The following is a 17,271-nucleotide window of genomic DNA, read 5'->3' as shown; positions in this document are numbered from 1 at the left end:
CTGTGAGGATTAAACAAGACAAAATATGTAAAATGCTCTACCCAGTGCCTGACCCATGGTAATCGTACAGTAAATGGGAGCCTGTCTTAGCCAGCTCAAGTTTCTCTGCCAAATTACCTTAGACTGTGTAATGTATAAACAACATAAATTTTTCGCTCATAATTCTGGAAGCAGGTAATTCTGAGATTAAGGCAGCGGAAGATTCCGCATCTGGTGAAGGCTTGCTGTCTGCTTCAAATATGGTACCTTCTTGCTGTGTCATCGCATGATGGAAAAGACAAAAAAGGATGAACTTGTTCCAAGTCCTTTTATAAGGGCACTAAACTCATTCACAAGGGTGGAGCCCTCATGACTTTATCACTTCCTGAAGGCCCCACGTCTTAATAATATTGCATTGAGGATAAAGTTTCAACATGAATTTTGGGAGGACACAAACACTCAAACCATAGCAGAACCCCTTTTGTAAAAAGGAAAAGTAGTGAGACTAGCTTAGAGGTTATCATAATCCTGGCATCAGATGATAAGGGCCTACCAAGATAGTGGCAAAAGAGAATGGGAAGAGAGAAAGTAACCATGTTAAGTGGAAGACAGTGACTGTTCCTTGCATGGCTAGATTTTTGAACAAAAGGAATCTTACTTTAGCCAGAATAATTTGCCATCAAATGCAGAACAGATTTCAAAATAAAATGTATCTATCATGTGCATTGTAGTATTTGTAGGGCTCTTGTTAGACTGCAAGACATTGACTCCAGTTGTACAATATCTATATTTATCATTTTTAGGCATTCAGTGTGTTGATTTCATATCTCTCAAAGTCTTGCCATTCTATAACTACTGAAGTGAAATGCTTTGAGATAAAAGCAAGGGATGTGAGAATATATGATAATAAGTCCTAAAATAAGATTGAGCTTCATATTTATAGTTTTCTAATCTATGATTCTACAATACTTGCATTTGCATTATTTCCACTACATTTTCTGAAGCGACATTAATGTTATAGATATTAAGTCTGATATTTAATTAAAGGGAGATTATCTGTCCATGTAATTGCTGTCCAGAGTAATTAGTCACATGTCTTAGGTAGCTAAAGCTGCACATTTCCACCACAAAACTATGTTAGCTATGTGATACATAAATCAGGCCTTGGAAAAAATGAGAGCTTAGGAATTTAAAACATTGAACATGCCTTTAATTTCAATATTGAGCCCACAACAAAAAAAAATTTGAAGGTCTAAAATGCCAACCTCCAGTTTTTTCTTAAAATGAGCTTATTAGATGACTAATATACTGCACATGCCACATAATTAATTTTATAGTAAAGTTGGCTAGAACCTGGATAAATGGACAATTAGCCTCTCCTCTGAAAGAGATCTGTTATCATAATTGCTAATGAAAACAAAATTTGCATGCATACGTAAGACAAAAATAACCTCTTTCTCTTTCTTAGGTGTTTATCACAGAAGCTCCAAGCTCTATTTGTAATACCTAGCAGAACTATTTCACTTCACTCTTTTCTTCTTTTTCACTTTACAATGCTAATCAAGCTTTCTTATGGAGCTCTTCTACCTTGTTTGTGCTTGGTTTTCCAGCTTCTCTTATTTGAAATATAAAGCCTTATTTAACACTGTAATATATTATTAGCTGGATTTTAAATACCTAAATAAAATAAAGAGAAAGCATATACATTTCTTTAGGAGGCTTTAAAATTATAATTAATATGATAGATCAATCATTTATAATGTGTCTCTATACTCATAGGTTAATTATCTCTGAATAAAAAATAAGATAAATAACACATATTTTGAGAAGGCATATACTTTCTCTCCTCTGCTACAGACAACAATGTTAATGGGTGAAATATAGAAAAGATAAACAAAAAGACATAGCTTATCTTAGATAGCATACAAGCATCTCCATGGATTAAATATAGAAGAGAAAATTCAAATTTAAGCAAGGCTGAGTGTTACTGGACTCCCAGTCTAATAACAGACAATGAAGGTTATGGAATTAGGTCCTCTATGGGTAAGATGGCTAAAGTATTTGACATTGAACAGGACTGACTGAATGCTTATAATAAAAAACTGGGAATGGGAGACAGAATACTTCATCTTGTCTCATGCAAGGAAGCGGCAAAATGTTAGCTAAGATCATCCCCCATCAAGATATGGCATAAGGAGGTAGGAGAACACAGTCCCATACTTAAAAATAAGCCAAGTTGTCCATTTGTTCAGTGAAAGGATCTTTCACATCCTCAATATTACCCCTGGGCAGAAACTCCAAATTGACCCTGTGAGACCTGGTTCTGGAACAAGGACCTGCAGGTCTAGGTGGAGACAACTATAAAACTGCTAGATTGGAATGGCTGAAAATAGAAGCGAACACAGAAAAAAAGGGGCCCTAGGCACATCACTCTTAAGAAGACACTTGAATGACACTGAGAGTGAGGGCCTCCATAAATTTTGCACCCCAGCTGCCCAATTCTCCTTACTGGGCCCTGCTAAGAATCTACAAGTTCAAACAAATATAAATAAATACTAAATAAATGAAGAATGAGTGAAATCTTTTACTTGTTCACAAGAAAATTAACTAATAAATTTAGTAGGAATAATACAGAAAATCACCACTTGCAAATATTATCAATTGATGCTAAAATTAGTTGGTTAAAGTTGAATCAGAAATATCATATTTACATATTTTCAAAATATTCCCTCTATAAGACACATATTAATAACAAAGAGGAAAGTAGTACTTTACAGTGGAGAAACTTGGAAGACACCACCATAACCAAGTGATCAAAATTAACATCACCAGTTAAGACCAATATACATCATGTATCTTCTGATATAATACAAGTAGAACACAACATAATTTCTGTGATATATCTGCCAAAATTATATAACCTACCTAAATATGACCATGAGGAAACATCAAACAAACTCAGATTGATGGACATTCTACAAAATAAGTGGCTTGTACTCTTCAAAATTGTCAAGATCATGAAAGATAAAGCAATGCCAAGGGAGTGTTCCCAGTTATAGTAGACTAAAGAAACATGAAAACTAAATGCAATGCATGATTCTGGATAGGAGCCTTTTGCTACAAAACGTATTAGTGGGACAATTGATGAAGTATAAATGAGAGCTGTAGATTATAATACTGTTTCAGGGACAGTTTTCTGATATTTGATCATTGTACTTTAATTATATAAACGATTGACCTTGTTTTTAGAAAATACACACTACATTATAAGGCATAAAGGAGGTTTATGTTAGGAACTTTCTTTCAATAAAGCAATTTAGGACATACATATAGACATACACAGCTGTGTGTGTTTATGTGTGTATATGTGTGTGTGGAAGATAGAAAATGAGAAAGTTAAATCAAAAAGGATAAAATGCCAACATTTGTAGAATTAGTTTGTGATAAATGGGAATTGTTTTACTACTTTTGCATCTTTTCTATCAAATTATTTAAAAGTAAAACAAAAACTTATATCATAAAATACTATGTAAAAATACTATATTACAAAATCTAGTGTTATCTAGCTAAAGTAATCGTTCAAGGTAATTGTACAATCTTAATCACAATTAATTATAAAATTAAGGAAGACTGAATAAAAATGAGTTGTGTTCAACTCAAGAAACCAGAAAAAAGAACAATAAAGTAATCTAGAAAGAAGAAAATTGTAAAAATAAGAGCAGAAATTAATGAGTTTGGAAGAAAACAAATAAACTATAGAGAGGATCAACAAAATCAAAAGTTGGTTCTTCGGAAAAAAATAGAATGAATACAATGAGAAAATATCAACAATGGTCAAGAAAAGACAAAAAAATTTAGCAACAAAAAAGGGAATGCAGTGATTGTATAGGTAAATTAAAGATTTCAAGATCATAAAATAGAACTACAATAAACTTTATGCCAATAATCTTGAAAACTTATAAGTCAATATTTTCTTAGAACATGTGTCAAAAGTGACTGAAGAAACCACAAACCTCCACAAACCAATAAACATCAGTAACATTGAACTGTATTCAAAAGTTTTCTACCTTCAAAGACACTAGCCTCAGGCAGTTTTATAGAAAAGTTTTACCAAATCTTGAAGGATCGGATAATTCTTGCCTTTTACAAACTGTTTCAGAAAATATAAAAATAGGAAAGAAATAGCTGAGAGACATGGGGAGAACTAAGCATATGATCCTGCTCTACCTGATATCAAAACTACCTGTAAAGCTAAAGTAATAATGATGCTATGTTTGGTGTAGGGAGAGGCAAAAATGCCAATGAACTAGTATAGAGTGCTGAGAAATTTAGCCATATATGCATGAATGAAACTTGGATGTTGTATTAGTCCATTCTCACACTGCTATAAACGTACACCTGATACTGGGTACTTTATAAAGGAAAGAGGTTTAATTGACCCACGGTTCCACATGGCTGGGGAGGCATCAGGAAACTTAGAATCATGGCAGAAGGCAAAGGGGAAGCAAGGCACCTACTTCACATGGTGTCAGGAGAGAGAAGTGCAAGGACAGAAAATGCCAGACACTTATAAAATCATCAGATCCCATGAGAACTCACTCATTATCACAAGAACAACATGAGGGAAATTGCCCCCATGATCTAATCACCTCCCTCCCCCTACATGTGGAAATTATAGGTCACCCTCCTCAACACATGAGGATTACAATTTGAGATGAGACTTGGGTGGGGACATAGAGTCAAACCATATCATTCTGTCCCTGGCTCCTCCCAAATCTCATGTCCTTTATACATTTCAAAACCAATCATGCCTTCCCAACAGTCCCTCAAAGTCTTAACTCATTACAGCATTAACTCAAAAGTCCAAGTCCAAAGTCTCATCCAAGACAAGGCAAGTTTTCAAAACCAATCATGCCTTCCCAACAATCCCCCAAAGTCTTAAGTCATTCCAGCATTATCTCAAAAGTCCAAAAGTCCAAAGTCTCATCTGAGACAGGCAAGTCCCTTCCACCAGTGAGCCTGTAAAATCAAAAGCAAATTAGTTCCTTCCAAGATACAATGGGGGTACAGGCTCTGGATAAATCCTCCCATTCCAAATGGGAGAAATTGGCCAAAATGAAGGGACTACAGTCCCCATGCAAATTCAAAACTAGCAGGGCAGTCATTAAATCTTAAATGGAGGACAGTGACCCTCTCCTCACAGGTCCACTAGGCAGTCCCCAAGTGGGGATTCTGTGTGGGGGCTCCAACCTCATATTTTCTTTCTGTACTGCTCTAGCAGAGATTCTCCATGAGGGCTCCACCCCTGCAGCAAACTTCTGCCTGGACATCCAGGCATTTCCATATATCCTCTGAAATCTAGGTGGAGGTTCCCAAACCTCAATTCTTCTATGCACCAGCAGGCCCAACACCACATGGAAGCCACCAATCCATGAGGCTTACACCCTCTGAAGCAATGGCCTGAGTTGTACTTTGGCCCCTTTTAGCCATGGCTGGGAAACAGAGTGCCAACTCCCAAGGCTGCACAGAGCAGCATCTGGGCCCTAGGCCCAGCCCAGGAAATGATTTTTCCCTCCTAGGCCTCCAGGTCTGTGATGGGAGGGGCTACTGTGAAGGTCTCTGACATGCCCTGGAGACATTTTTCCCATTGTCTTCCTGATTAACCTTTGGCTTCTCATTACTTACTCAAATTTCTGCAGCTGGCTTGAATTTCTCCCCAGAAACATTGGCTTTTCTTTTTTATCGCATCATCAGCCTGCAAATTTTTCAAACTTGTGTGCTCTGCTTCTGTTTTAAATATAAGTTCCAATTTCAGATCATGTCTCTCAAGTTCAAAGTTCCACAGATCTCTAGGGCAGGGACAAAATGCCACCAGTCTCTTTGCTATGCACAGCAAGAGTGACATTTGCTCCAGTTCCCAAATATTCCTATCTCCATCTGAGACCACCTCAGCCTGGACTTCATTGTCCATATCACTATCAGCATGTTGGTCAAAACCATTCAACAAGTCTTTAGGAAGTTCCAAACTTTCCCACATCTTCCTCTCTTCTTCTGAGCCCTCCAAACTGTTCCAACCTCTGCTTGTTACCCAGTTCCAAAGTCACTTCCACATTTTCAAGTATCTTTATTTCAATACCCCACTCCTGGTACCAATGTAATGTATTAGTCCATTTTGACACTGCTATAAAGATACTACCCAAGACTGGGTAATTTATAAAGGAAAGAGGTTTAATTGACTCACAGTTCCAGACAGCTGGGGAGGCCTCAGGAAACTTCCAGCCATGGTGGCAGCTGAAGGAGAAGTAAGTACCTTCTTCACATGGTGGCAAGAAAGAGACAGGCAAGCAGGGGAAATGCCAGATGCTTATAAAACCATTGGATCTCTTGAGAACTCACTATCACAAGAACAGCATGGAGAAAACTGCCTCTATGATCCAATCACCTCCCTCCCTCCACATGTAGGGATTACAATTTGAGATGAGATTTGAGTGGGGACACAGAGCAAAACCATGTCAGATGTATGTCAAGGATAGCATTTCAGATGAGTCAGGAAGAGAAAGTATATTCAATATGTGATTCTAATAGAATAGTTATACATGCAGAGAAAAGTAAAATTAAGCCCCTAACATACATAATACAAAAACAAACACAAGAGAAAATCTTTATGACCATAGCTGCTATGGTTTGAATGTGTCCCCTTCAAAATTCAAGTGTTGCCTATGTGATAGTGTTATAGGTGGAGGCTTTAACAGGTGACTTGGCCTTGAGGGCTCCTCTTCCTTTAGTTGGATCAGGTGTCCTTATAAAAGGGCTTGATGAAGGGAGTTCATATCTTTTGTCCTTTTACCTTCCTCCATGTTAGAACATAGTGTTCCTCCCCTCTGGATGATGCAGTATCAAGGCACCATTTTGGAAGCAGAGAGTAGGCTTCCCCAGACAATCAACTTGCCAGTACCTTGATCTTGGACTTTCCAGACTCTAGAACTGTGAGAAATAAATTTCTGTTCTTTGTAAATTACCCAGTCTCAGATATTCTATCATAGCAGCACAAAATGGACTCAGACATAGGACAGGGAAATTTTTCTTAAACAAAGCAAGACAAAACAAAATAAAACAAAAAAGCATCAATCATAAAAGGATCCCTTGATATATTTGATTCTGCATTTAAAAAAATCAGTACAGAGATACTATGCAATATCTTGAAAACATAATATTGAGTGAAAAGAACAATTTGCCTCTTGATACAGTATGACCATGTTTGTTAAATGCTGAAAAACACACAAACAAATAGTGTATATTGTTTATGGATTTATATGTATGGTGTAAATTTATTTAAAATATGCATGGGAACTTTCATACTGATTTCCTAACAGGAAGAAGAGAAAATTGTAGAATGGAATTGGGAGGGTACAATGGGGTTCACAACTCTAACTGAAATGCCATTTCTTAAAAAAAATGAAGTCTGAAACAAATATGTCCTAAAGTTAAGATTTGATAACACCGAATGTGAGTAAGTGGGTATTTATTATATTATTATCTATTCACATCTATATGCTTGAAATATTAATACTCCATATTCAAGCAATGTGCTCTAGTGGACAAGCACCAATCTAGATCATGGATAAGTCCAGGCTTTACTACTTTGTGACCTGTCAGGTTACTTAAGTTCTTAGTACCTCAGTTTCTTCATCTGTAAGTTTGGGATAATTGCAGTACTTAAAGTGGTAAAGTGGTATTGTGAGAATAATATGAAATAGCATATGTAAAGTGTTTTGCACAGTGCCTGACACATAATAAGCACTCAACACGTTCTGGCCTTTGTGATCATTTCCTGCCAGATTTGGACTCTTTGTTAATCTTTTATTTCTTTTGGTAACATTTCATTTTGAAATAATTTCATACTTACAGAGATAGTTACAAAGAACTCCCAGTTACTCCTCATGCAGCTTTTATCACAATGCCTTTATTATTGTCATTCTACTATTTGGAATTTAAGAATACTTCTTGATGGATGGGCAAACAAAGCCATCATATAGCCTATGCTACCATAAAAATGGACTGTTTGAAGGCAGCATATCACTGTGGTTAAGAACATAGGCATTGTTTTTCAACAGTTCTTGATGGGATCTCAGCTTCTCCGCTGACTGAATTGTGACTTTGGGTAAGTCACCTAAATTTCTGAGTCTATGAAATAAAAAGTCAGCATAGTGCAGCAACATTGGTTAGGGATTCAATCCTGTGAGCCAATAAACAGCCACAACGTTTCTGGGCTGGGACTATTTGAGTGCCATTTCTGAAATGCTTAAAGAGGCCTGACTTTAAAATAGCTGCTCAGCCTGCCCTAATGGGCGGAGTGACCTGGAGCATGGCATTTTTCCACTGTAAACCACAATCCCACAAATGAGGTCTGGCTTCAGATACCTGAAGCCAGACTTCAAATTTCCTGGATTCTTCTTTTGAAATATGTGTGTGGGCACACCCACGCATGTTTATTTGATTTGTTTGTTTGATTTCTTCCAGCTCATCAAACCCAGCTTCTTTTGTCACTTTATTCTCTTTCTTGCTTTCTGAGGCTTTTAAACAGAGGGTGGTTTTTTTTCCCCTTTGGGAGAGGGAAAAACCCATTGCTATCCCCCTGGATGTGGTTCTGACTGGAGCAGTAATGAGCAGACCTGATGGAAGTGATCACTGTCCCCACCTAGGGTGACTTAAGGAGAGAAAGGATAAAGTTTTGGTACTGCAGAACATTGGACTCTAAAGGTGGGTCTGTGGAACTTTACCAGTCTTGAACAACGTTTTTCATATGTGTATCTAAATGAGAAAAAATAAATACAAGGTAGTGAGAGTTTTTCATCAAGTTAAAAAGATTCAACATAATGAACTGCCCTCTATTTTGAGATTATGCCCTTCCAACGTTTCTGGTGATAAAATGTCTTTTCTTTCATAAAATGATGGTGGTAGCTTTTTAAAATACATTCAGTTGGGAGTCAAACTTTGTGAATCCTATATATCTGTGTATATATAAATATGTGTGCATGTACATATATACACACATGTATGTAGAAATCCTATGTATATATATGAGCATATATATAAATCCTAAATATAAATATCCTACAGAATAGGATTTACACATACTTATCTATAAAGTCTATATATATATATGTGTGTGTGTGTGTGTATGTGTATATATATATATAAGATTTATATATTTGTTTATGTATAATGGTTGTTAAAATGCTTGTGGGAAATTATATTGGTCCATGAAATCTAAAAAAATCTGACAGCCTTTGATTCAGACTGCCAAAGATATAAAAGGATTCTTCACCATTAAGCTCCTCATCCCAATTTTGCAGATAAGTGAACTGAGGGACTTAAACTCACAAAGCATGTTGGGAGCAGAACCAAGACTAGAACTCCAATCACCTGATACTCAGGCTAACTGAACCCTCCTCTCACCTGCCCTGCCACCCCAAATGGAAAAAGGCACTGAAGAAAACCTTCCTTAACCTCACTATGTAACAAGTTTTTGCCATGCACTGTTTATTTTCTGTTTTGTTCTAAATTCAAGAACTAAAAGAACAGCCAAAATCCCAATGGGAAATGATGACGACTAAGTTCCAGGCCTCATGATCATTAACCCTGTTGGAATGGAGGCGGGCAATGAAATGGTCACTTAAATATTTCGCTGACTTGCTCCCTCTTAAGTCAGAAGAGTGCCTACTCATAGCGTTAATTTCTGATTAGCTGTTAATACAGCCAGGTTAGAAAATAGCATGGAGAAGAATAAGCATTCACATATCCTTTTCTGATTGTTACTAACTAGCAATGGTTTGCAGAGTTGGGTCAGTGCTCTTACAGAAGGCAAAACTGGAGGTTTTGAGCTGCACCTAAAACAACAGACAATCAGCTTCTGGCCTGGAGAAACTGGTGGGGGCAGAATCATCTCAAAATGGCAGCCTTTGGGTAGCTTGCACCTAGAATTCTTTTTTTTTTTTTTTTTTTTTTTTTTTTTTTGAGACGGAGTCTCGCTGTCGCCCAGGCTGGAGTGCAGTGGCGCAATCTCGGCTCACTGCAGGCTCCGCCCCCTGGGGTTCACGCCATTCTCCTGCCTCAGCCTCCCGAGTAGCTGGGACTACAGGCGCCCGCCACCTCGCCCGGCTAATTTTTTGTATTTTTAGTAGAGACGGGGTTTCACCGTGTTAGCCAGGATGGTCTCGATCTCCTGACCTCGTGATCCGCCCGCCTCGGCCTCCCAAAGTGCTGGGATTACAGGCGTGAGCCACCGCGCCCGGCCTTGCACCTAGAATTCTACCTGCAGTGTCAGGATTAGACGGGCCCTAGGAAGAGTTATGGAGAGGCACTGCTCTGGGAAAACTCTCTACCTGTAGGTTAAAGGAGGCCTGGTTTTGATTAGAAAGACCTTTAAATATCATATGTGTTGTATATATATTACTGAATTCCTATTTTTGCTGTAACAAATAACCACAATCTTTGTGGTTTAAAACAACAGAAATTTATTATGTTATAATTATGAATGTCAGACATCCAAATTGGGTCTTACTGGGCTAAAATCAAGGTGTTCACAGGGCTGTGTTCCTTCTGGAGGCTCTAGGGTAGAATCCATTCCTTGGTTATTCTGGCTTCTAGAGGCCTCCCACATTTCTTGTTGCATCACTCAAACCTCTGCTTCCATTGTCATATTGCCTTCTCTCTTTCTGACTCTGACCTTCCTTTCTCCTTATGAGAACCTTTGTGATTACTTTGGTCTCACCCATACAATCCAGAATATTCTGCCCATTTCAAGATTCTTAATTTAAACACAACTGGCAAGTCCCTTTTGCCTTATAAGGTAACATCCACAGGTTCCAGGAATTAGGATATTATATGTCTATTGGGAGAGGGCAATATTCAGCTTTCCACAACCAGTAAAACTTGTTTTTAAGTGAAAAAATGTAAAGAATCAAATATATAAATTGCAGAAAAGCAGGGTTGCTATATTAAATGTCTCATCCATCTAGCCTCTATGACTTCTTTCCCATGACAGTGACTGATCCTTGTAGCTCCAAAATCCATTGAATACAACTGATTTATATGTGAAGGGAGGACACCATTTGGAAACACCTCAGCCACCACATTCCCACTGTTATATTCTTCAGTGAAATGTGACACCTCTTAATGCTAGTTAACTGTGAGACAAGAGACCCTGCTCAGGTAGCCTTGCATTTCCAGAAGCTGAGGTGCTCAACGTTTGTTGAATAAATGAGTGAATAGTCAATTAGTGGTGAATGAAAAATGCTTAGCCAGTGTCTATATTCTGTTTCCCCACTCACAATTATTCATGATTCAGACATATATATTAGCATTATTAGAAAAAGATCAAAATGGATACCTGCCACGTGCCTTCTCTCACAATATGCAGTGTCAAACCATTTTTACACATATAAACATATGCATTTCACTGCTTTTCATGAGCCTTAATAGAATGTATTCTTTCAAATCCCTATCACGGACATTTTATTTGCATAGCAGGAAATTAGATAATGGTATTATAATATCTTTCTTTGCCTCTTTGCCAGAACCTCGTTCCTGAGGGCAAGATTAGAAATGGAACAAAGAATGTTAAAGAACATCTAGGGCAGGCAGTTTTACAGATGAGGAAACTAAGTTCTGAACTGTAAAACTTGAAATTTGCTGAGAAAGTAGATCCTAAGTGTTCTCACCACACACACACACACACACACACACACAAATGGTGACTAGGCAAGTAGGGGTTGACAATTACCATACTTTTGGGCACCATCCTTGGCATTTGGTCAAAGCATGTCGACTGAGACTACTTATTTAAAAAAAAAAAGAGTGGAATATGCAGAAAGAGAGCTGGCTAATGCAACAAGGCCAGAGCCTGGGAGAGTGAAAATCTGGAGAGCACAGTGCCATGGGGGGCAAGGGAGGAGTGCGCCAGGAGAGGGAGGGGCCCGGGCTGAGGGTGCGTTGAACTAGTGCCCTTACCACAGAGGAGGATGGGCCTAGGGACAGGTGCATTACTTATTGGAAGTAATGCCAATCTATCCAGTAAAATTATAATTGGTCCTAAGTCATGGTTCTGGACTTGCACACCTAGGAACACTGAAACAATCTTAGAACTTTAAGCACAATGCACCACATATAACATTTTTGGAAACTCTCTGGTTTTATTTGGAAATTTATATCTGATATTTGGTCAAGGCTTAAAGTTTCCAGGACTTTGAAGTATTGCTGAGTCCTAAATAGTGAACCTTCAAAAGCTTTGACTCTACCATAGGGCATTGAATTGATGATCTATAAACAAGAAGAGAACAATATTTGAAAAGGAAAAAAGTGCTAAGTTTCCACATTAGGTCTTATAAGCAGGAGTCTGTCTCTATTTCAGCAACAGTCTTGTCTCTTATGAACACAACTCCAAGCAAAGCCATTTTAAGAAAAGGCATGAGCAGAAAGGCAGGGCAGATCATCTACCCTGGCTCTGCCACTGATGTCATATGGCTGGGAGACCTCCCCAACAGTCTACTCCATAGAGATAACATGTTACACAAGTGATGGGGAGAGAAATGCTATTCACACCAGAAATGTCTCCTGCGAGACTTAGACATATAAGTTGCATGAAGACAAGACCTCTGTTTATGATGCTCACCATTTATCCCTGCAACTTAGACTACATGCCTGGCACATAGTTGGTACTTGTGGGGGTCTCCCAAAAACCTCACTAAGTAGCACTTCATCTTATCATCCAGATTCTGAAGTTGATAAATACACAAAACAGTAAATATGAACTTAAAAATATCACTTCATTACTGATGGAGGCCAGGCTTGATGATCTAAATTAATGAGAAAGTCAAAGTGTCTACTCAATGGATTGCAAAAGTTAGGAGGACTTCACCTAAATAAAGGCAGTGCAGGAGCAGGATAGATTGCCCACTGAAGGAGCAGAGTAGAACACCCACTCTCATGAATACGATTGCTCCCAAGAGAAAAGAGGATGAACTGACTTGAGAATGTCCAGGTAATCTACCCCAATTTACCAATCAAATAAGTGTTCCTCATTGTGCTCAATATATACTCAATAAAGGCATACATGAATGAATGAACTAAAGAAGGTCAGAAATACCACCTGTGGTAATCTATAGCCTAAGGAGCTGGGATAGCCAGAATGGGGCCCTTGTGTAAAGAGTACTTTGGAGCTCACAACACTTTTCTATGGCACTAGGCTGTAGATCCCCTCACACTCAGATAAGGGAAGAGAAAGGCTGCCTTTGACTTCTGGAGAGGGAGTCGCGGGAAAACAAAGGCATTCACCCCTCAGATAAGGTGAATTCAACTGGGGGACAGGATAGAGGGTGGCTGGTACAGCTTGAATAAGAGAGATCAGCTAACATTTTATCCAATATCAAGCTGGGTAAAGAAAAACAGATTCATTAAGCCAAAGCAAGTTTCATGCTCTGTTTTGCTTTGCTTTGCTTTGTAGAACACCTGTTAGTGTCACTCTTTTTCTAGCCATGTGTTTCTCATCAAACTCATCCAAGACAACAACAAGAAGAGCCAAGGAGCCTGATGCTATAAGAAGGAGAACTTCAGAAGTTCTTACCTCAGTGTTCTTACCTCCTTTTTCCTTCTTACCTCTGTGTTACCTTGTTCTTGCAACCTCCATGACTGGGAGTCACAGGCTTGAAAGGGAAAAACATTTGATCCTTCTTTTCCCTAAAGAACCTAGTTCAGTAACTGACAGTGATTTGAATGGGCTGTTATCATGGGTACCGCACTTTTGAGGTAATAAGACTGGCAGGTTTTTTCACTGGCACTATTTTTCCACACAGGTAAGTTATATGTAAAGCAGTCATACTATTACTATGTACACTGGTTATTTGAGACAAAGTACTGTAATATTGACATTTCATCTGACTCTTTCTGCTTATAGGCTTTGATGAGATCATTCTTGTTAACTTACTATAAATATTACCTGAGAATCAAATCCTTCCTGGGTCTAAGATTTGCTTTAAATGCCTAATGACCTGTCTAGTTTTCATTATGTATCAACCTTAGGGGTTCCCTTGACCTTGCTTAAGTTTTAGAATGAATTAAAGGGGCAGCTTTAGTTTCAATATTTATATGTAGTCATTCATTAATTTAACATTTCTTGGGAGCCTGCCATGTGCCAGGTTCTGTGCCCTTTACACCATTTACATAAACAACATCTAACACTTACAACAACCCTGAAAGGATGATGGTATTCTCCCAATTTCCCAGATTAGGAATCATATCATTAGTGAGATACATTCACTTGCCCAAGTTCCACAGAGAATAAATGGTGGAGTTAGGATTCACACCCAAGTCTGCTGAGCTGCCAAGCTCCACAGGCTCTTTCTAATAATATGCTCAACTGCTTCCAGCTGCCTTTCCAGCTCATCTCCAGACAGGAGAAGCATTCCACATTTATGTGATGCTCACTTTGTTTCTTCCTGTTTCCCCCTGAGTTGAAATGGAAGGAGAAGCTGTCCCATCACAGTAGGATATGTCCCTGAATGGTAAAGGTTTTTCACTGATATCTTTTTCTGGGGACTACAGAATGTCCTCTTTTTATGCCATTTCCTTCTTTCTCTGGAACTACAAAGTTTAAAGCGATGTAACATCATTAAAATATGCTCTAGAGCTTCCTTAAATAATTGTTTAAATGAACACCTGTCCTTGTTTTGCAAAGCTTCCAGTCTCAAATTGGGGCTTATGCTAGAAAAGAACCTTCATGGATGTTTTAAGCCAATCATTAACAAAATTTTTCTAAATGGAGACTTAAAGCAGTTTCATCCAAGTTCAACATCAGAGCAGAGAATAAAGAGCCCTGTCTCTGCAGATAGGAATTAAGGTCAAGCCTCATGGATCTAGGGGGCACCTGACTACCAAACTTCCCGATTTTTGGTGGTCAGAAAGCTGGAAAGTGGGAAGATAATAGTGGTATAATTCCTCAAGCTTGGGATAGATAACACAGGATCAGGGCAGATTTTAACTCTGAGTTGAAATGTCTCCAAAGTTTGTTTTCTTGGGGCATTCTTCCACATAGGTGCACTCAGAAAACAGATAAGGAGAGTGGGGCATTTGGGAAATACAAGTTTAGAGTTACTCAGTGGATTTCAGGGTCCTGAAGGAGTCAGCCAGCACATTCCCCAGTGTGGCCTTCGATTCCAGCTGCCCCAAGATAAATCATCTAACAGAGGGTGGATCTCATATTACCCATTTGAGAGTTCCTGTAACTCTGGTACCAACTGATGTTTTCATTTTTGTAAACAAAAATCTCATACCAATGCTCTCTCATTAGTTAAAGAGGCCTTGTGGTGAATCTTTTTGTAAAGTGAAGAGGCCTTTTGTAATGTAAATAGTCTTTCCCTAATTTATCTTTATTGTTTCTAAGTTCTGTGGGTAGGATTTTCTTAAAGAGGGTGTATTAGTAATGCCATAAATCACAAGCATATTGCTTATTTATAAGCTACTCATTTTAGAGCACAGCTCACCTAGAAATTCATATCCCATTGTTTCTCTTCATTGTTAATGAGTCTTGGGAATTACTGACTTGACTTTAGAGCCACTGAACCTTATACCATCAAGCTCTGGAAAATTTGCAGAAGATCTTTAAAACTAATAATGATAAAAATCAAGTGGACCTTGAAATAAAAGGGAAGCCACGTGTCAAATATCAAGATAATGACACTTGTTTTGTTCTTTCTAAAATAAAGAGTTGGCCCTGTGCTTTCCAAATAGTGTGAGAAGAGTTTCCTCTTTTTCATTTCTTAAACTGGAGTTAGGGCACTGAAATCTTTTAATAAAGAAATTGGTCAAAATCAGAAAGTCTGCCGTTTAAAAATACCTTTAAACCTTTGACTGTTGTTGGGGCCTCTTTGATTATTACTTGGCTAATTTTCTTATGCTTCCATGGTCTCTTCCAGATAACCGAGACATAAACAAGGGGCTGGAGAAGCCTGTGGAGATTTACGGTGCAGTCTTCTGAAAAAGAATGTTCTCAATTTTCAAGTGGGATTGGAAATACAGTAAGTCTGGCCTACAGCATTGGCCACTCTAACTGATTAGAGGTATGTTTCATTGAATGCCAGTAATAGCAGAGTAAGAGGGATTTTATAAAGAAAGGGGTATGTCTCTTCATGAGTAGACATTATAAGTGAGCTAGTGATTCCCGTGAAGTTGGCATTTTTCATAAATGAGAGGGCATTTTTAAAGATAACTAGAAGTAGCAAGGACATAAACCAGCAAACCTCAGGAGAACCAGGGAGACCAGGCAGTGAAAAGGAAGACTTGCAGAAGCGGATCCTTATTGGAGTTAAGAGACTGGGTCCCAGCAAAGAGAATGGAGACCAAGTAGATTGTTGTAAGGGCACAGTGTTACATAGTGATTGTTTTTAAAGTTATCTATGAATTGAGCTAAAGGGTTGTTGGTAGGAAGTGCTCAGCTGACTGAGAAGGTATATTCCCCAAGTTTCTGAGTGGGGCCTGAAGCCCAGAACAATGGGCAAAAGTCCCAGAAGAAGCTGGCAGACTTCACACCACATGTGCACAATATAGGATATGCACACATCACATTTGGTCTTATCTTCCTTACCCACAATTGTATGGTATTTTTGAGATGCTAACCTGGGTAGATAGCATTCAATTACATTCCCAACAGATTCAAACACAACTACAGAGTAAAAGGGAACCATTTTGTCCAAATGTTAAGTAGTCAGTAATGGCATCTTTGAAACCAAGCCTGATGATAAGCCTCAAAGGAGATGTTAATGGATGAACTTGTACAATATGAGGAAAATCCACCCTCAATATGTTCTACTTTCTTATATAAGAAAAAATAATAACTAATTTTGAAACAGAAATTGAATTGTGATCCTGCATTTTATTTATTCGATTATGAATTTCTGTGATTTTAGATAACTGCCCATTTCTCAGTGACTTCTGCATCATCAAATTTCCTCCCTAAGATGGACCTGGAAATTTTTGTCTGCTGCTTTAGTAATCCAGCCTTGTGCTTAATTTTCACATATCCATACAGGGATGAGGAAGATTACTGAGAAGTATTTGAAAGGGAATGTACCTGACATACTAAAGAATAAAATGGGATGCTGGGAGTCTAAGAGAATTTTGCTTTGAATAATTTGTTCATTTACTTATTTATACAAGTATGTAATCATAATAGTATCAAAAACACAATTTATAGTATAGGACTAAAAACCACTATGAGTCCTTCAAAAGTAATTGTAG

Source organism: Homo sapiens, chromosome X, assembly GCF_000001405.40.
Source record: "Homo sapiens chromosome X, GRCh38.p14 Primary Assembly".
In the NCBI taxonomy this organism is placed as follows: domain Eukaryota; kingdom Metazoa; phylum Chordata; class Mammalia; order Primates; family Hominidae; genus Homo; species Homo sapiens.
The sequence above is the reverse complement of the archived record's forward strand: the minus strand, read 5'-3'. Positions refer to the sequence as shown.